Genomic DNA, 21374 nt, shown 5'->3' on the forward strand with positions numbered 1-21374 from the left:
TGCCTTGGCCTCCTAAAGTGCTGGGATTACAGGCGTGAGCCACCACGCCGGGCCGCCTACACTTCTCTGACCTCCCCCATCCCTTCTTCTCTCCATAGATAGTAGCTGTAGATCCAAAATGACCTCTGATCTGCTCAGTCTGGGCCACAAGAAAGGCCTGGCATCTCATCATTCCTTTCTTCTTCAGCTCTGCTCTCGTCAAGAGAGTTACCCAGAGGAAGAATGGCTGTTGACCAAACCAAATACAAGGTGCATTGGGTTTCCTTTTTGCTTCTCTTCTCTGGATAGTCGTGGTTAACATAGAGTCAACAAGTGACCTGGTTCTTACAAGTTTCTATTCAAGAAAATGATGAGAAGCCTTGGAGTGGACTCAGAGATCCCAGTAGTCTGTTACTTCTTTCTACAAAATGTTCACTTATTAATTTAGAAAATAGAACAGTTTTCCCAGTGTACTAAAGTTTTGTTTTTTTAAACACACACACACTCTCCCCTCCTCTGTCTCACACACACCCACCCACACAATTCCAAAGAATTTAGAAAATAGGGAGTTACAAACAGCAAATCTACTACCCAGAAATAACCCAGTAATATTTTGATCTATTTCCTTCTAGTAAGTTTCCTATGCACATATACATTGTTTTCAAGATTGGAATCTTATGACATTTACCATTTCATATCTTGTATTTTCACTAAAAATTATGTATGGTTCTTATATTTGGTTTTCTTTTCTTTTCTTTTTTTTTCTTGAGACGGAGTCTCGCTCTGTTGCCCAGGCTGGAGTGCAGAGGCGCGTTCTCAGCGCACCCAGGCTGGAGTGCAATGGCTAGATCTCAGCTCACTGCAACCTCCCGCCTCCCGAGTTCAAGCAATTCTCCCGCTCCAGCCTCCTGAGTAGCTGTGATTACAGGCACCTGCCATCATGCCTGGCTAATTTTTATATTTTTGTAGAGATGGAGTTTCACTATGTTGGCCAGGCTGTTCTTGAACTCCTGACCTCAGGTGAGGCCTCCCAAAGTGCTGGGTTTACAGGTGTGAGCCACTGCTCCTGGCCTATATTTGTTTTTTTTTTTGTTGTTGTTTAATCCCTTTATATTACGTAATACAGAAAAATAGTTAAAATATAGATGTATAGTTTAAGAAGTAATTATAAAGAGACCCTCAGCATAACAAAAACTTGCTTCAGCAGTCCAGAAAAGCCCGCTAGTCCTTTCCCCAGAATAAACTTATCCTACCTCCCTCTTTAGGCAACACTTATCCTGACTTTGATAATCGTTATTTTCTTCTTGACTTTTTAAAAAAAGTTTTGTTTTGTTTTGTTTTTTACCACATATCTGCTTATCCCTAAACAATATAGTTTAGTTTTGCCTTTTTAACACTATATAAATTAAATTGTACTGTATGATGTTGTTTTGAGTCTTGCCTTTCTTATAAAATACTATATTTGTTAGCCTCACTCTCGCTGCTATACATAGCTGCAGTTCAGACGTTGGTTATTTCCTGTATGACAGGGCTGCTGTGAAAATGTTTTTACAAGTATACCAGCATATATGCATACCTTTCCAGGATATAAGTGTATGAAGGAATTGCTGGGCCATACAGTATGTTTTGCATCTTTAAATTTCCTAGATAATGCTGAACTGATCTACAATATAGTTTTATAAATTAAATTCCTACCGACAGCTTATAAACATTATAGTCATCTTGTATTCTAACACATGGTCATTTGGTATTCTAATCTTTAATGAATCTGCTGATACCATGATATATCATGTTGTTTTAAAAGTATAACATACATTCTGGGGCCAGGCATGGTGACTCATGCCTGTAATCCCAGCACTTTGGGAGGCCTACTGGGCAGATTGCTTGAGCCCAGGAGTTTGAGACAAGCCTGGGCAAGATGGTGAAACCCCATCTCTACAAAAAGTACAAAAATTAACCAGGCATGGTTACATGCTGCTATTGTCCCAGGTATTCAGGGGATAAGGTGGGAGGATTGTTTGAACCTAGGGAGGTTGAGGCTGCAGTGAGCTGCGATTGCACCACTGCCTTCCATCCTGGGCAACAGGGCAAGACCCTGTCTCAAATATATATATATACCATACATTCTGAAAAGTACAAAATCAAGGTATATGACCTGATGACTTGTATAAAAGTGAGCATATTCCGGGCTGGGCGCGGTGGCTCGTGCCTGTAATCCCAGCACTTTGGGAGGCCAAGGCAGGCAGATCATGAGGTCAGGAGATCAAGACCATCTGGCTACGGTGAAACCCCGTCTCTACTTAAAAAAAAAAAAAAAATACAAAAAATTAGCCGGGCATGGTGGCGGCCGCCTATAGTCCCAGCTACTTGGGAAGCTGAGGCGGGAGAATTGTGTGAACCCGGGAGGTGGAGCTTGCAATGAGCCAAGATTGTGCCACCGCACTCCAGCCTGGCCGACAGAGCGAGACTCTGTCTCAAAAAAAAAAAAAAAAAAGAAAAAGCATATTCCTTTGACCAGATCTCAAATCTGATAAGGAAATAAAACATAACTGGCATTACAGAAGCCCAAGTCTTGTCCAGTTCACTCACTACCCACTTCTCCTAAAGAGAACTAATAGTTTGTCTTCTATAGCCATAGACTAATTTTACCTATACTTGAATTTTGCTTGGCTTCTTTTTTTTTCACTTTTTTTTTCCTACTGTCAGTTTCACTTGGAGATGATGCTTGGCTTCTTTTGCTCAATATTGTATTTCGTATGTAATATGAATGTATTCTGTAATAATATGTAGTATAAATATATAAAATTCATCCATGTTGCTGCACGTTAGTTATAGGTGATATAATGAATATAGTGAACACATTATTATTGCTGTTTAAAATTCTGTTGTATGAATATAACACTTTTTTTTGTTTTTGAGACAGTTTCGCTCTTGTTGCCCAAGGTGGAGTACAATGGCACCATCTCTGCTCACCACAACCTCCACCTCCTGGGTTCAAGCGATTCTCCTGCCTCAGCCTCTCAAGTAGCTGAGATTACAGGCGCACGCCACCACACCCAGCTAATTTTTTGTATTTTTAATACAAACGGGGTTTCACCATGTTAGCCAGGCTGGTCTCAAACTCCTGACCTCAGGTGATCCGCCCGCCTCGGCCTCCCAAAGTGGTGGGATTACAGGTGTGAGCCACCGTGCCCGGCCGAATATAACACATTTTACTTATCCATTCCATTACTGATTGGCATTTGATTTCATATTGAGGCTGTTATGAAAAACGCTGCCGGGAACATTCTTTTACATGTCTTTTGGTGCACATATGAATGCATTTGTCTTGGGTGTATTTCTAGGAGTGAAATTGCTGGGTCATGGTTTCTGTATATGTTCAGCTCTAATAGATACTGACAGTTTTCTGAAATAGTGGTATCAATCTATATTCCAAACTGCAGTGTAGACTTTATGACAAGAATAGATTTTACAACAAGAAGCTTTACTAGAGATAAAGAGGAATAGTTTATAATAAAAAGATCAATTCACCAGTAAGATATAACAGTTCTGAATTTATATGCCTTCATAAAATGGCTTCAAATATATTTGACATAACTAAAAGAAGTAGTAGATAAATCACAATCTTAGTGGGGAGTTTTTAGCACTCTTCTCAATAGCTGACAGAACAAGTGACAAACCCAATAAAGCTATATGGTATTTGAACAGTGTGATTGACAAGCTTGACCTGATTGATATGTATAGAACAGTGTACCTTACAACTACATAATATACTTGCTTTTCAAATGCATATGAGACATTTATCCAAATTGATCATATGCTGGGCCACAAAGGGAGTCTCAATAAATTTCAAAGGAATGAAATAATACTGTAACTTTCCTGACCACAGTAGGTTAAGCTAGAAGTCAATAACAAGAAGATAATTGGAAATATCCCAGCCAGGTGTGGTGACTCATGCCTGTAATCCCAGCACTTTAGGAAACCGAGGCAGGAGGATTGCTTGAACCCAGAAGTTTTAGGCCACCCTGGGCAATATAGCAAGACCCCATTTCTAAATTTAAAAAAACAAAAATTAAAGAAATATCCCAATGTTTGGGATTTAAGCAATGTATTTATAAATAACTGGTGACTCAAAGAATAAATTGTGATAGATATTTAAAATATTTTAAACTGAGTGATAATGAAAAATAACATACCAAAATTATGTTTCTAAAGCTGAATATGAGGAAAATATATAGCTGTAAATGCATATGTTAGAAAAAAATGAATGTTGGCCGGGCGCAGTGGCTCACACCTGTAATCCCAGCACTTTGGGAGGCCCAGGCTGGTGGATCACGAGGTCAGGAGTTCAAGACTAGCCTGGCCAAGATGGTGAAACCCCATCTCTACTAAAAATACAAAAAAAAGTAGCCAGGTATGGTGGCGGGCACCTGTAATCTCAGCTACTCAGGAGGCTGAGGCAGAGAGTTGCTTGAACCTGGGAGGCAGAGGTTGCAGTGAGCCAAGATCGCGCCACTGCACTCCAGCCTGGGCGGCAGAGTGAGGCTCCATCTCAGAAAAAAAAAAGAAAAAAATTAATGTTGAAAAATTAATGATCTATGTATTCATCTCAAGAAGCTAAGGAAAAGTCTAGAAAGTTAAACCCCCAAAATTAAAATCTAGGAAATAATAAGAATAAAAGCCCAAATATAAAATTTTTAGTTTATTTGGTATTGCATATATTTAAGGTGTACGTGTTTTGCTGTACATAACGAACATATATTGAAATACAAAATGAATGTACAGTGAAGAAAACTAACAAAGGCAAAAGCTTATTTTTGGGAATTAATAAAATTAATAAATCTCTAACAAAACTTAAAATATGAAGTAACACAAAAATTGCCAATATCTGATAAGAGGAAAATTAAACCAACCACAGACTTAACTTAAAGGCTGAGGGCTCAATTAATTAATTAGTGTTTGGTACCTGGGACTTGGTTCCACAAAATAAGCTCATTGGAATCTGAGCCACTGATCATTATACTGGGTCCCTTTTTATACTTCATTGAACATGTAGATTTTTCTGGTTTTTTGTTTTTTTCTTTTTTTGAGAGACGGGCCTCTCACTCTGTCACCCAGGCTGGAGTGCAGTGGTGCAGTCACAGCTCACTGCAAACTCGACCTTCCAGGCTCAGGTGATTGTCCCATCACAGCCTCCCGGGTAGCTGGGACTACAGACAATGTGCCACCATGCCCAGCTAGCTTTTTTTTTTTTTTCAATGATTTTGTTTTCATTTTAATTGTGGTATAAAAGACAATGTAAAATTTACCATCTTAATCTTTGTTTTTTTTTTTTTAGACGGAGTCTCACTCTGTTGCCCAAGCTGGAGTGCAGTGGCATGATCTCAGCTCACTGCAGCCTCTGCTTTCCGGGTTCAAGCGATTCTCTTGCCTCAGCCTCCTGAGTAGCTGGGATTACAGGTGGGTGCCACCATGCCTGGCTAATTTTTGTGTTTTTAGTAGAGACGGGGTTTCACCATATTGGTGAGGCTGGTCTTGAACTCTTGACCTCGTGATCACCTGCCTTGGCCTCCCAAAGTGGTGGGATTACAGGCATGAGCCACTACGCCTGGCCATCTTAATAATTTTTTTTTTGAGATGAGTTTTGATCTTGTTGCCCAGGCTGAAGTGCAATGGTGCGATCTTGGCTCACTGCAACCTCTGCCTCCCAGGTTCAAGTGATCTCCTGCCTCAGCCTCCCGAGTAGCTGGGAATACAGGCATGTGCCACCAAGCCCAGGTAATTTTGTATTTTTAGTAGAGACAGGGTTTCTCCATGTTGGTCAGGCTGGTCCCGAACTCCCGACCTCAGGTGATCCACCTGCCTTGGCCTCCCAAAGTGCTGGGATTACAGGTGTGAACCACCACACCAAGCTAATCATTTTTAAATGTACATTCCAGTGTTAAGTATATTCATATTGTACAATAGATCTTTAGAACTTTTTCATCTTGCAAACTGAATTATAACTATTAAGCTACAATGTCCCATTTCCCTCTTTCCCCAGCCCCTGGCAGCCACTGTTCTACTTTCTGTTTCTATGAGTTTGACTACCTTAGATACCTCTGTAAGTGGAATCATTTATAATAGTATTTGTCTTTTTGTGACTGGCTTCTTTCCAGTCACAATACCCCAAGATAGAAAGGGGATTCACTGCAGTTAGTCAGTAGACACACACAAACCCAAGTAGTAACGGGATACAATATAATAATGAATTAGTTGAATGCTTTGATAAATTAGTTTGACATGTTACTTTTTATTATCATTCAGTTTAAATTTTTTTTTTTTTTTTGAGAAGGAGTCTCGCTCTTGTCACCAGGCTGGAGTGCAATGGTGCGATCTCAGGTCACTGCAACCTCCGCCTCCTGGGTTCAAGCGATTCCCCTGTCTCAGCCTCCCAAGTAGCTGGGACTACAGGCGCGCACCACCATGTCTAACTAACTTTTTTTTTTTTTTTTGTATTTTAGTAGAGACGGGGTTTCACCATGTTGCCCAGGATGGTCTCGATCTCCTGACCTCGTAAAATATTTTTAACTTCCATTGCAATTTATTCTTTGAACCACCAGTTATTTATAAATACATTGCTTGAATCCCTGACTTAGCATAATGTCCTCAGGGTTCAAACATGTAGCATGTGACAGGACTTACTTTTTTGTAGTTGTTTATTTGTTTTAATATGCTTTATTTTTTAGGGTACTTTTAGGTTCACAGTAAAATTGAGCAGAAGGTACAGAGATTTCCCATACACGTCTTTCCCCCACACGTATGGTCTCCCCCATCATCAACATCCTCCACCAGAGTGGTACATTTATTACAACTAATGAACCCACATGGACACTCAGAGTCTATAGTTTACATTAGGGTTCACTCCTGGTGTTACACATCCAGGGGTTTGGACAAATGTGTAATGACATTTATCTCCATTATGATGTCATCCACATTAATTCCATTGCTCTAAAAGGCCTCTGTGCCCTGACTGATCCTCCCTCCCTGTCAACTCCTAATCTTTTTATTGTCTCCATAGTTTTGCCTTTTCCAGAATGTTGTAATCATACAGTATGTAGTCTTTTTGAATTGGCTTCTTTCACTTAGCAATGTGCATTTAAGTTTCCTAAGCTGTTGATCATGAGACTGAGTCCCTTTTTATACTTCAACAGACATGTAAGTTTCTATTTTTAATATAGATTTTAATTTTTGTAAGTTCATTTATTGGACAAGATGTGTGCTTTAAATTTTTGCATGGTGAAATCTGCAGTTTCACTATAAGATATATTGACCTGGGGTAGTCGTATTTTTAAAATTTATTTATTTATTCTTTTTTTGAGATGTAGTCTTGCTCTGTTGCCAGGCTAGAATGCAGTGGTACGATCTCAGCTCACTGCAACCTCCGCCTCCTGGTCCTCCTGCCTCAGCCTCCCAAGTAGCTGCGACTACAGGCGTGCGTCACCATGCCCAGCTAATTTTTGTATTTTTAGTAAAGACAGAATTTCACCATGTTGGCCAGGATGGTCTTGATCTGTTGACCTCGTGATCTGCCCGCCTCGGCCTCCCAAAGTGCTGGGATTACAGGCATGAGCCACTGCACCCAGCCAGGCTTTTTTTTTTTTTTTTTTTTTGAGACAGAGCTTCGCTCTTGTTGCCCAGGCTGGAGTGCAATGGCGCAATCTCGGCTCACCGCAACCTCCGCCTCCCAGGTTCAAACGATTATCCTGCCTCAGCCTCCCTAGTAGCTGGGATTACAGGCATGTACCACCACGCCCGGCTAATTTTGTATTTTTAGTAGAGACGGGGTTTCTCTGTGTTGGTCGGGCTGGTCTTGAACTCCCGACCTCGGGTGATCAGCCTGCCTCGGCCTCCCAAAGTGCTGGGATTACAGGCATGAGCCACCGCGCCCAGCCATCCGGCCAGGCATTTTTTAAAAAACTTAAATCTCCCTTGTTAATATCACTATATAATTATTAGGGGTTTAATATTGCTAATAGAATGTTTACTTCCTAGGCGATACCAGCCCTGCAGGGCCTGTGGGATTTTCTCTTTGTGTGTGGAGACGAGAGATTGTAGAAATAAAGACCCAAGACAGAGATAGAAGAAAAGACAGCTGGGCCTGAGGGACCACTATCACCAAGACACAGAGACCGGTATTGGCCCCGAATGCCTGGTCGCGCTGTTATTTATTGTGTATAAGGCAAAGGGGCAGGGTATGGAGTGAGAGTCATCTCCAGTGATCGGTAAGGTCGCGTGAGTCACGTGTCCACCAGACAGGGGGCCCTTCCCTATTTGGTAGCCGAGGCAGAGAGAGAGAGGGGACAGTTTACGTCATAATTTTTTAAATGTATTTTAAAGACTTTAGTTTTGTTACTGTCAAACAAAATTTGTAACTAATTTTGTTACTGTTATTTAGAAGGCAGAGCCAGGTGTACAGGGCGGAACATGAAAGCGGACCAGGAGCGTGACCGCTGAAGCACAGCATCACAGGAAGACAGGCCTCTGGATGGCTGTGGGCGGGCCTGACTAACGTCAGGCGTTTTTACAAGAGATGGTGGAGCAGAGTGTTTTTTAACTCCCCCAGGGAAAGGGAGACTCCTTTTCCCGGTCTGTTAAGTAACGGGTGCCTTCCCAGTTACTGGCGCTACCGCTAGACCAAGGTCGGCTAAGTAACAGGTGCCTTCCCAGGTACTGGCGTTACCGGTAGACCAAGGAGCCCTCTAGTGGCCCAGTCTGGGCATAACAGAGGGCTCGCATTTTTGTTTTTTGGTCACTTTTTATCGTGTCCCTTTAGTTTTTATCTCTGTACTGTGTTCCTTTAGTTTCTATCTCTGTATGGCTTGGGTTTTTTTAGGTTATAATTGTAGAACAAAGATTATTATTGGAATAAAGAGTAATGCTACAAACTAATGATTAATATTTATATATAATTATAATTTATTTTTAGTATAACTATTTTTATTCTATATATTTTCTTTATTATACTAAAACAGCTTGTGCCCTTGGTCTCTTCCCTTAACACCTGGGTGGCTTGCCGCCCAGAGTATGCAATAAGCTCTCATTTGGAACATTCAGCTAATTTGTTATTTTATTGTATCCCATTTCTACTTGGTTTTGTGTGTGTCTACTAACTGCAGTGAATCCCCTTTTCATCTTGGGATATTGTGTGAGGCCACTGTTGTGATGGGTCCTTCTGGCTTTGGTACAGTTTTTCCTTTTTCTGGGACTAACTGGCTTTTTCAAAGTTCCCGAGTTTATTCTTTTTGTCTTGGGTAGATGGAAACAAGCCACTAATACTAGAACTATAAAAAACAGGATAAGAAAAGAACACATATATAATCCTTCTCTAATTATTGTATGTAAAAAAAAATTATTTTATTCGCCCACCTTTTTTGTGCACTTTATAACAATTTTTTTCTTACATATTATTATGGACTTAGAGCATTTCATAGCTATTTCAACTGACTGATAGCTGTTAAAGACTCTATCACAGTGTGGAGGAGTGGCAGAAGTATTCTGTTTATTGTTGTGTAAGTTTTCATTAGTTGGCTAATGGGATCCCCTTTTAGGAGACTCTTAAAAGGAGTTCTTTCAGCACAGATATTTTTAAAAACAGCCTCACCTTTTGGCAATGGCAAAAGGTTGAATTTTTTTTTTTTTTTTTTTTTTTTGAGACAGAGTTTTGCTCTTGTTGCCCAGGCTGGAGTGCAATGGCGTGATCTCGGCTCATTGCAGTCTCCACCTCCTGGGTTCAAGTGATTCTTCTGCCTCAGCCTCCCGAGTAGCTAAGATTACGGGCATGTGTCACCATGCATGGCTAATTTTGTATTTTTTTTTTTTAGTAGAGACGGTTTCTCCATGTTGATCAGGCTGGTCTCGAACTCCCGACCTCAGGTGGTCTACTTGCCTCAGCCTCCCAAACTGCTGAGATTACAGGCTGTGAGCCACTGCACCCAGCTTTTTTTTTTTTTTTTTTGAGTCAGAGTCTCACCCTGTCACCCAGGTTGGAGTGCGATGGCACAATCTCAGCTCACTGCAACCTCTGCCTCCCAGGTTCAAGGGATTTTTGTGCCTCAGCCTCCCAAGTAGCTGGGATTACAAGCATATATATATATGTGTGTGTGTGTGTGTGTATATATATATATATGTATATATATGTGTGTATATATATGTATGTATATGTGTGTGTATATATATGTATATATATATGTGTGTGTATATATATGTATATATATGTGTGTGTATATATGTATATATGTGTGTATATATGTATATATATGTGTGTGTATATATATATATATATTTTTTTTTTTTTTTCAATAAAACAGAGCTAGAAGAATTAGTGCCTGCATCCCTGTGTGTTTAGGGGTGGATGCGGGTGTTGTGTGTGTGCATGTGGTGAGTGAAGTTGACTTTTTGAGGGTTGAGAAACAAAAAGACTTGATTAGGGAAGTCTTTGGTCTTTCTGATCTGAGTGCACTGTGTTCCTGGCCAAAGGGCACCATTTGTGTGAGTCTGGTTTGGGGACCTGAGGGCTGCAAAGGAGGTCATGGTAGCTCAGTCTTGGGTCATAGTAGGTCATTAGCTCAGGGCAGACCATAATAGCTCAATCATGGGTTCAGAGCAACATCACTGAGGTGGGACAAGGTCTGGCCCGAATCCGTTGGCTAAGGCAGGAACTTAGGTTGTTTGCATGAGGGAGAATGAATCTGAGTCCTTGTCTTGCTGCAGCTAAAGCCTGAGGTTTGTAGGATTGAGGAAGGAGTAGGATTTGTTCCATATTCCTACTAACTGGAGTTGTATCTCAAGACCAAGAAATATGGAGGTGGTTTTATCTGACCTCTAGTGTGATTTCTAGAGGGTTTTACTTCCCCAGTCATGCAACCTCAGAACACTGTCCTTTTTCAGGAGAACGGCCTCAAGGAAGACTAACCATCTGCAATACTAGAAGCCATGGCTGAGGTGAGTTGATGCTTTTTCTTGCCTTCCTGACATTTAGTTTAAAAAAAAAAAAAAGACATGAGCATTTGCTTTCCTTATCCTGACATTTCTGGCTAACAGAGTTCCCCTTCAGAATCCTTGTCCCCATTTTTTCTTAGCTAGATAATCCTATACCATCTCTAAGTATCCCTTTTATTTTTATAAATCAACCAGCATTAATATTTTCATTCCGTAAATACCTGAGCATCTCTTTTTCTGAACTCTTTCCCAAGGACTATGATAGGGGATGAATTATCTCAAGGAAGCAAGAATAGATTTGTAAAATGAAGTTACCCTGTCTGGACCATTATTTGATGAGTTGAAGGTGTGAGTTACTTAGCTGGAAATATAGACAAGCCAAGATTATCTCTACAGAGTAGCATTCTCCAGTAAGATAGGATGAAGTGTGGTGCTGGTAGTTCCAAATGTTGGATTGTTGCAAGATCTGGTTTAGGCACCTTTGGGGATCATGGGGTTGGTGGCTGATACAGAGCTCTGCAACTCTGTAAGAACATCCTGGAGAGAAGTCCAATTTCAGGTTGGATAGGAAGTTTGGATTGTAAGGAATTTCTGTGAATCATTGAGTTTTCTGTATCTCAGAATTAAGGATAGTGATAATGGATGTTTACAATGGTTCAGCCAATGCATAAGTCATGTGGATCACACTGTCAGAGCTCAGAAGAACCTTTTAAGTCTTATCCAGTAATATCTGTATTGTAGAAAATTCTACCAGAAAAATAATTATTAAAGAATTTGTAAAACGCCAGGTGCAGTGGCTCATGCCTGTAATCTCAGCACTTTGGGAAGCAGAGGCAGGCGGATCACCTGAGGTCAGGAGTTAGAGACTGGGCTGGCCAACATGGTGAAACCCCATCTCTACTAAAAATACAGAAAATTAGCCAGGTGTGGTGGCACATTCCTGTAGTCCCAGCTACTTGGGAGGCTGAGGCAGGAGAATCCTTGAACCTGGGAGGCAGAAATTGCAGTGAGCCAAGATCACACCACTGTACTCCAGCCTGAGCAACATCTCAAAAAAATAAAAATAAATAAAATAACTTTACATATAACTTTATATATCTTTTTCGTAGCTTTGATTGATGCTCTAAGATCACATGGGGGTAGTTTAGAATATATTAGATGAAGGACAGCTTTGGACATAACACAGACCAAGAGTTGAGAACTTTTGCATCAGGCACAAGCAAACTGATTATAGTTGTGTTATACCAGATCATGTAGCTGCTGTGTAACGTGACCTTAAATAGTCTTCCTGCATAGGACGAGCAAAAGGGGATGATTCATCAATAGGATAGAGATTTAAGACATTCTCTGGCTACCCCTTGCATTGTTAGGTGATGTCTTTTAGCAGAATTATGAAGACCTTTTTCTCCCTTAATAAAGGAGAAAAACTGATGGCCTGAGAAATCTTTCTCTGCTTTTCAATTTTATGAATTTTTTCAGAAGTTATAAGACTATTACTGAATTTTTACTTATTTGATAAACATTAACTATTTTTGTTTTGGTCAGATAAATTATTGACAAAACTAATTAGTATTTTTTTATAAGTAAAACATTTTCCTTTTTTCCTCAAAAAGGTTTTTTTGTTTTTTTTTTTTGAGACGGAGTCTCACTCTGTCGCCTAGGCTAGAGTGCAGTGGCACGATCTCGGCTCACTGCAACCTCCGCCTCCCAGGTTCAAGCAATTCTCTGCCTCAGCCTCTCGAGTAGCTGTGACCACAGGCCCCTGCCACCACGCCTGGCTAATTTTTTCGGTTTTAGTAGAGACTGGGTTTCATCATGTTGGCCAGACTGGTCTTGAACTCCTGACCTCGGGATCCACCCACCTTCGCAAAGTGCTGGGATTACAGGTGTGAGCCACCATGCCCGGCCAAAAATGTTTTTTTCACGTAGGTCTATATAGCTAACTGGTAGACCAGAGAATTACCTCATCTTATTTTGGTTTTATACCAATAAAATATATCTTGGATACTCAATAAATAAATACTCAAAAAATAAAAAAATAAGGTCATGATGCATAATTTTATTAGGATGCACATCGTATCTGGTTCTCTTTCTTTTTGTAATATTACCAGTTATTGATAATTTTTAGATTCATTCACTAGGGGTTACAAGTGATCTTTTAATTCTGTCATTCTTCCTTCATAGATTAAGTGGAATACGTCTATCTATAAAGTAAAACTTTCCCTCATCAATTGTTTGGTTACCCTGAAGGACAGTTCATATAGGAAAGAAGAATGTTTGATTCTTTCCATTTAATTACCAGTTTTCCAAATAATGAGTTGGCTTCTTAGACTTGTCCAAAAGTGACCAATAATGTTTTAAAATAGTGTTGTGAACTCATGGATTAAACATTTTTAATATGATCAGTCCGTTGCAGTTGTCCATATAATTTGATGTGCAACCAATCCTAGTGAACACGTATTATTCTCTTTTATAATGCTATTGTATTATATTCTCTTATTTTTTTTTTAATCCTCTTGATTTCTCTGCAGAAAATAGGGAAATTCATCAAACACAATGGAAAGTTTCCTTGGAAGATTATTATCTAGTCACACTTGCATACAGTCCCCTCTTACAGCATTCTACAGTTTGGGATTTTGTTTGTTTGTTTATTTGTTTTTGTATTTATTTATTTATTTATTTATTTATTGAGATGGAGTCTTGCTCTGTCGCCCAGGCTGGAGTGCAGTGGTGATATCTCAGCTCACTGCAAGCTCCGCCTCCTGGGTTCAAGTGATTCTCCTGCTTCAGCCTCCCGAGCAGCTGGGATTACAGGCGCGTGCCACCACGCCCAGCTAATTTTTTTGTATTTTTAGTAGAGACAGGGTTTCACTGTGTTAGCCAGGATGGTCTTGATCTCCTGACCTCATGATCTGCCTGCCTTGGCCTCCCAAAGTTCTGGGATTACAGGCGTGAGCCACTGCGCCCGGCTGTTTTTATTTTTTTTTTGGGATGGAGTCTTGCTCTCTTGCCCAGGCTGGAGTGCAGTGGTGCCATCTTGGCTCACTGCAACCTCCGCCTCCCAGGTTCAAGCGATTCTGCTGTCTCAGACTCCCGAGTAGCTGGGACTACAGGCGCACACCACCACAACTGGCTAATTTTTGTATTTTTAGTAGAGACAGGGTTTCACCATGATGGTCAAACTGGTCTTGAACTCCTGACCTCGTGATCCGCCCGCCTCAGCCTCCCAAAGTGCTGGGATTACCAGTGTGAGCCACCACACCGGGCCTGGGATTTGTTTTTAATCCTATGGGAAATGTCCTAATAGGGCTTTGGCATATCTTTGTTCCAATTTCTACATTGAGGAGGGGAAGAAGCTTTCTTTTTATTAAATAAAATACACATCTTTTTATTTTTTTAAAATTTTATTTATTTATTTTTTCGAGACGGAGTTTCGCTTTTATCGCCCAGGCTGGAGTGCAATGGCGCAATCTCTGCTCACTGCAACCTCCACCTCCCAGGTTCAAGCGATTCTCCTGCCTCAGCCTCCCAAGTAGCTGGGATTACAGGCATGTGTCACCACGCCCAGCTAATTTTGTATTTTTAGTAAAGACGGGGTTTCTCCATGTTGGTCAGGCTGGTCTTGAACTCCTGACCTCAGATGATCCACCCACCTCGGCCTCCCAAAGTGCTGGGATTAGAGGCATCAGCCACCACGCACGGCCCACATCTATTTTATTAAATAGGTGCCTCAAGCATTAGTTGCTAATGAAACAGAAATACAAATGAAACATCTAAATATCCAAATACCACATTTTCTCTAGATTTCCCCCAAAATGTGCCTCATCTCCCTGTACTTTTACATAATATTTCTAGTATCTTCATTTTGTTAGTTTTGCAATGTCACTGTCAAGATAGAATTATTTGATGGCTTAAGACAACTTTTATTTTATTTTATTTTATTTTTTGAGACAGAGTCTTGCTCTGTTGCCCAGGCTGGAGTGCAGTGGCGCGATCTCGGCTCAGTGCAAGCTCCGCCTCCCGGATTCACGCCACTCTCCTGCCTCAGCCTCCTGAGTAGCTGAGGACTACAGGCGCCCGCCACCACGCCTGGCTAATTTTTTTGTATTTTTAGTAGAGACAGGGTTTCACCGTGTTAGCCAGGATGGTCTCGATCTCCTGACCTCGCGATCAGCCCGCCTTGGCCTCCCAAAATGCTGGGATTACAGGCATGAGCCACCACGCCCAGCCAACTTTTGTAAGATTTTCAAACTCTAAATTTATAAATCCTATTACAAAAAAAAATTATAATAATTTGACGTGCAAGTTGTAACAGTATTGGTCAGTGGGAGTATCTTCAAGTTGCCTCCTAGTCTTATCAGCATGATCCTAACAGTTTTTGGTTGCTTTCTTGCTTTTTGGTATAACAAGACGTTCAGACTCATCCTGTGCATTTTGTAAAAGTTGCTCTTGTGGATTTCGTGAAATCAGTTCTTTTCCCAAAGAACCTTGGTTTCTTTTATTTGAAAATGATATTTAGAAACCACAATCTAGGCTGGGTACAGTGGCTCATGTCGTAATCCCAGCACTTTGAGAGGCTGAGGCGGGCAGATCACCTGAGGTCAGGAGTTCGAGACCAGCCTGGCCAACATGGTGAAACCCTGTCTCTACTTAAAATACAAAAATTAGCTAGGTGTGGTGGTGCGTGCCTGTAATCCCCGCTACTCGGGAGGCTGAGGCAGGAGAATTGCTTGAACCCAGGAGGCGGAGGTTGCGGTGAGCCGACATCATGCCACTGCACTCTAGTCTGGGTGACAAAAGCGAATTTCTGTCTCAAAAAAAAAAAAAAAGAAAAGAAATCACAATCTAGACTCTAGGGATGCTCGTTGCTACTGGATTAGTCATTATTTCTAGGCCGTTTCAATGGACAGAGTCAGGAATTTGTTTAATATAAACTTCCTACTCTTGCATCTATTTCTGAAATCTAAAGATACAGGTTCTCAGTGACACCAATATAATGACTCATTTTGTATTACCCCACAATACAAGCATCGTAGTCTCTGATACATTTTTTTAATTACACAAGTAATACGTATGTTTATTGTTTCAGGGATCAGTGATGTTCAGTGATGTGTCCATAGACTTCTCTCAGGAGGAGTGGGACTGCCTGGACCCTGTTCAGAGGGACTTATACAGAGATGTGATGTTGGAGAACTACGGCAATCTGGTTTCAATGGGTAAGGGCATCTGTACCAGTGATTCCCAGTTCTCCTCTGGAATGTCTCCTTCTTCCACAGTGAATTTCTCAGCTGCTTTTCAGGTTACTAGCTGAATTTCTATTCTTTATTACCAAACAAATGGTTTGAGCTGAAATGAAAAGGAAGAGTGGGAAATTGGCAACTCCAGTGGGCTGTGGTTGAAGCTTCATCTTCATCTTTCTTTGGCTGTTCCTGTAGTGGCATCTCTTCCTGTGATCATCAAGGGACTGGATCTCCTTTACCCCCAGCATAACCATGTTCCATATCTTTTCTCGTGAGCAGGACTTTACACTCCTAAGCCTCAAGTGATCTCCTTATTGGAACAAGGGAAAGAGCCCTGGATGGTTGGCAGAGAGCTTACAAGAGGCCTGTGTTCAGGTAAGTGAGAAATGACCGGACAGGAGAAAGTCACGATAGGTCAGAACTCAGCTGGTCAGGGAGGAAACAGCACCTTTGAGATGTTATCCCTGAAGCTCCCATCAAGAAACTAGGCCAGTGGAGAAAATGAAGTCCTTTTAGCATAGTTGTTAAATAACCTGTTTCGCCCTTTTCCTCACTTACCACTATTTCTACTACTCCTCTCCAATCCTCCTCTTAATTTCAAGCAGAAGGTACCTTTTACTTCTCTAAAAAAAACCCTATTTTACCCGTATTTTAGATTCAGCTGCTTGCTAGCTTTTTTTACTCTCTCTCTTTTTTTTTCTTTTTTTTTAAAGGGTCTGGCTCTGTCACCCAGGCTAGAGTGCAGTGACATGATCATAACTTATTGTAGGCTCAAACTTCTGGGCTTAGGCAGTCTCCCTGCCTCAGCCTTCCAAGTGGCTGGGACCGTAGGCCTGTGCCACCATGCCTGGCTAATTCTTTTTCTTCTTCTGCATTTTTTTTTTTTTTTGAGACGGAGTCTCGCTCCGTCGCTCAGGCTGGAGTGCAGGGTGCGATCTTGGTTCACTGCAACCTCTGCCTCCCGGGTTCAGGCGATTCTTCTGCCTCAGCCTCCTGAGTAGCTGGGACTACAGGCGCATGCCACCATGCCCAGCTAATTTTTGTATTTTTAGTAGAGGTGGGGTTTCACCATATTGGCCAGGCTGTTCTTGAACTCCTGACCTCATGATCTACCCGCCTCAGCCTCCCAAAGTGCTGGGATTACAGGCATGAGCCACCGCGTCCGGCCCCTCTTCTGCATTTTTTAGACTTGTACAGGTGTTTTCTACTACCACTCCCCAAAATAATATAATTGCGTCTGTATACACACATGTGAACACACACACACACACACACACACACACACACACACACACAGAGACACACACACACACACCCCTTGCCCAAGTACTGGTCTTCATTATAGCTGCCTGTCAGTGACCTGTTTTATCAGACTGTCTTCAATGTTTCCTTTATGGAACGTTTTTTAATTTCCTGGTTTGTGTAAGGGAATCTTCCAGGTGCTACAGTTTACTAATTGTGTTACCTTTACAAATTCAAGGTCCAAAAGTGGTGCTAAAATATATACATATATGACTTCCACAAAGTAGAGTAGTATAAAAGAGAAATGAGATAAGGAGTTTAGCAGAAAGTCAAAGGCTAACTATGTAGAAGTGGAATTAATCCCTATTGAAGTAGTAGGTGGAGCCTTGGAAGTGACTGCAATCACTATGTATAGAGATATTGTTGGGGCCAAGAAAAAAAAAGGATCTGTGCCTATATTAAAAAGGAAGAGGTGGCAGAGCAGGAGAGATTTGGGATGAAGTAGGAGAACCAGAAGAGTACTTATTGAGCACTACTATGTACCAAGCATTGGTCCAAGGGCTGGGACTGTAGTATTCATGAAGGCATTCTAAAGTTCTGCACTTCTGAAGCCTACATTCTAGAGGGTAAGAGAGAAAATGTCTTAGTCCATTTTGTGCTGTTACAGCAGAATACCTCACATCGAGTAATTTATAAAGAACAGACATTTATTTTCTCATAGATCTGGAGGCTAAGAATTCTAAGATCAAGGCACTGTCATCTGATGAGGGCCTTCTTGCATCTTCGTGTGGCAGAAGGCAGTAGGGCAAGAGAGCCAACTCCTTCCATCAAGCCCCTTCGTAAGAGCACCGAAACCCATCCTTGAGGGATGGGTCCTTGAAGCCCGATCATCTCTTAAAGGCCTCACCTCTTCGTTTTTGGAATTTTTTTTTTTTTTTTGAGACAGGGTCTCACTCTGTCACCCAGGCTGGAGTGCAGCGGCACAATCATGGCTCACCACAGCCTCAACCTCCCGGGCTCAGGTGATCCTCCCACCTCAGCCTCCCGAGTAGCTCGGCCCACAGGCACACGTCACCACGCCCAGCTAATTTTTCTATTTTTTGTAGAGACAGGGTTTCGCCATGTTGCCCAGGCTGGTCTCTAACTCCTGGGTTCAAGCGATCCACCCACCTTGGCCTCCCAAAGTGCTAGGATTAAAGGCTTGAGCCACTGTGTCTGGCCCCCACCTCTTAATACTATCACATTGGCAACAGCTGAATTTTGAAGGAGAGACATTCAAACCATAGCAGAAGATAAACATGAATGTCAAGTATATATGTATAAAACAATATTAGCATGACATTAATATTATATGATATATAAATATTTTTAGAATTATATATCACTTACATTTATCTACATGTAACTAATATATTGGTATAGTATAAATATATATCATATATTAATAATATTTCTATATTATTATATGTCCATGTGTATATGAAATGTCAGGTGGTGGGTGATAGATAAGTGCTGTGAAGAGAGGCTAGAGAGGGCCTCTCTGATGAGGTGTTCTTTTAGTGAAGACTTGAAGGAAGTGAGGGAACAGGTAATGTAAATATCTGCTAGGAGAGATTCAGGCAAAGGGAACAGGAAGAGCCAAGTACTCGAGTTCAGAGCTTTTTGGCAGCCACCATTATGGCTGAAATTGAATGAGCAAAGCGGGAATTGTAGAAGAGGAGATCAGGAAAGTAGCAGGCTTATGAGTGTTTGCATGCTGGGTGCAGGTCAGGATGGGAGTTGGATGTACCTGTAGATGATTTTGGGTCTTGTGGACCTTGAATTTTACTCCGAATGAGGTGTAAATCCATTGAATGATTTAGCAGAGTGATATTATCATGTTTGCAAAGGATCATTCTTGCTCTAGGGGTTCCTAACTTTGGATTCCTTTAGGTAGAATTCAGGGAGTCCATGAACTTGGATGAGAAGAAAAAAATACATCTTTTTGGTTTTTTTTGAGACGGAGTCTCACTCTGTCACCCAGGCTTGAGTGCAGTGGTGTGATCTCAGCTCACTGTAGCCTCCACCCCGCAGGTTCAAGCGATTCTACTGCCTCAGCCTTCTGAGTAGCTGGGATTATAGGCGCCTGCCACTGCGCCCGGCTCATTTTTGTATTTTTAGTAGAGATGGGGTTTCACCATCTTTGCCAGGCTGGTCTTGAACTTGTGACCTCATGATCCACCTGCCTTGGTCTCCCAAAGTGCTGGGATTACAGGCATGAACCACTGTGCCCAGACCAAAAATACATCTTTATATTTAATAACCTCTAATTGAGATATAACATTTCTTCCTATCGTGATGTATGGGACAAACCATAGTAGCAGTAGTAGTAGTAGTAGTTACTGTGACTTTGACATTAATGGAAATCACAGATACGTTCATATTATTTTACTGTTATTGTAGGCATATTGAAATATTTATGCTCATCACTACTTCAGAATTAATGTAGTACTAGGCTTGCCACTAGGTCTTGTTTAATGTTTTACTAGAGAAGAAAACTCCAGGCAGAGAGAAGAACCCCTGTGAAGGTTCTGATGGGGAAAAGCTTGGTGTGTTTGAAGGACTAAATGCCAGTGTTGGTGGGCCCCATGATCAAGTGGGAGTGGAGTGTGAGTCAGGGTTTGGATAGACAGGCAGGAGCCACAGCATTCAGCCTTTGCAGGAGATTGTAAGGAGTTCGGACTTTGAGCAGTGGAAACCTAAGCCAAATGATACTATTCCCTGAATAGATTAAAGGGTGAGAGAGCTTGGTGGGGAGACTGGTTGAGGAGGCTACTTCACTGGTCTGGGTAAGAGTTGATTCTGGTTTGGAAGATGACATTGGCAGTGGAAGACAGAAGAGGGCAGTTTCAAAACTTTACTTGGGAGCTTAACTAGATGAAAGTTACTGCAAGATCTGCCGGGCGCAGTGGCTCACGCCTGTAATCCCAGCACTTTGGGAGGCCGAGGCGGGAGGATCATGAGGTCAGGAGATTGAGACCATCCTGGCCAACATGGTGAAACCCCATCTTTCCTAAAATACAAAAAAATTAGCCGGGCGTGGTGGTGCACGCCTGTAGTCCCAGCTACTTGGGAGACTGAGGCAGGGGAATCGCTTGAACCCTGGAGGTGTAGGTTGCAGTGAGCCGAGATCACACCACTGCACTCCAGCCTGGCAACAGAGTGACACTGCGTTTCAAAAAAAAAAAAAAAGTTATTGCAAGAGCATATAGAGATAGGAGGAGAAAGATTGTGTTGGAATGAATTCCCTGTTCCTGTTTTGAGATACTCCAATAGGCTTCATTTTGATATCTTCAAACCATTTAATTTGCCTAATATCCCCATTTTTAGTAAGAAATTGTTTCATAATACCTGAACACTTTACTCCAAAACATGTATATACATTTTCCTGTAACCCCCCAGTAATCATGAGTTAAGGATTATTGCCCTTTTACAGATGAAGAAATGGTAGCTTAGAGATTAAATAATTGCTTGTGAGCACACAACGATTAAGTATCAGAATTGGCAGTCAGCTCTCATCAATCTGCTTCTGGTTCCTGTTATCTTTCTATGGCAGTATGTTGTACTGTGTCTTAGTTTCTTTCCATCTTCCTTAAACTTTAGCTCCTTCTCTCTCATTCACTGTGGTGGTACATAAGCAAGTCTCCTCTCCCCTAAGATCAGCATCTCAAAATTCCAAGGCAAACAATATTTCCATTGAATCCCCAGCACATAAAATAATTCTGAGTTTTCCTATCTGCCACTTACACACCTACATCAAATTAGTTCAATACATTAGACTTACATCTGTCTCTTCCCTCATGTGAATAACCCGCTGTTACCAATTCCTTTTTTTTTGTTGTTTTGAGATGGAGTCTCACTCTGTCACCCAGGTGGAGTGCAGTGGTGCGATCT

General features: G+C 41.4%; 1 protein-coding gene across 14 annotated transcripts in view; it reads left to right on the top strand.

Moving 5' to 3' along the window:
* The window catches only part of ZNF383 (zinc finger protein 383), a 30527-nt gene that overhangs the window by 1287 nt on the left and 7866 nt on the right, over positions 1-21374 (top strand). For 5 of the 14 annotated variants that reach the window (NM_001387597.1, NM_001387598.1, NM_001345949.3 and 2 more), the window contains 5 exons: positions 99-249; positions 5318-5439; positions 10909-10962; positions 16049-16175; positions 16479-16574. In NM_001387597.1, coding sequence (NP_001374526.1) covers positions 10954-10962; positions 16049-16175; positions 16479-16574 — 232 coding nt within the window. In that variant the 5' untranslated portion in view covers positions 99-249; positions 5318-5439; positions 10909-10953. Of the gene's footprint in view, positions 1-98; positions 250-5317; positions 5440-6022; positions 6083-6963; positions 7177-8013; positions 8244-10890; positions 10963-16048; positions 16176-16478; positions 16575-21374 lie in introns of those variants that run through there. The other 9 variants (NM_001387593.1, NM_001387596.1, NM_001387600.1 and 6 more) reach the window with 9 other exon arrangements.

The sequence above is a fragment of the Homo sapiens genome, chromosome 19 (genome assembly GCF_000001405.40).
Source record: "Homo sapiens chromosome 19, GRCh38.p14 Primary Assembly".
Lineage (NCBI taxonomy): Eukaryota > Metazoa > Chordata > Mammalia > Primates > Hominidae > Homo > Homo sapiens.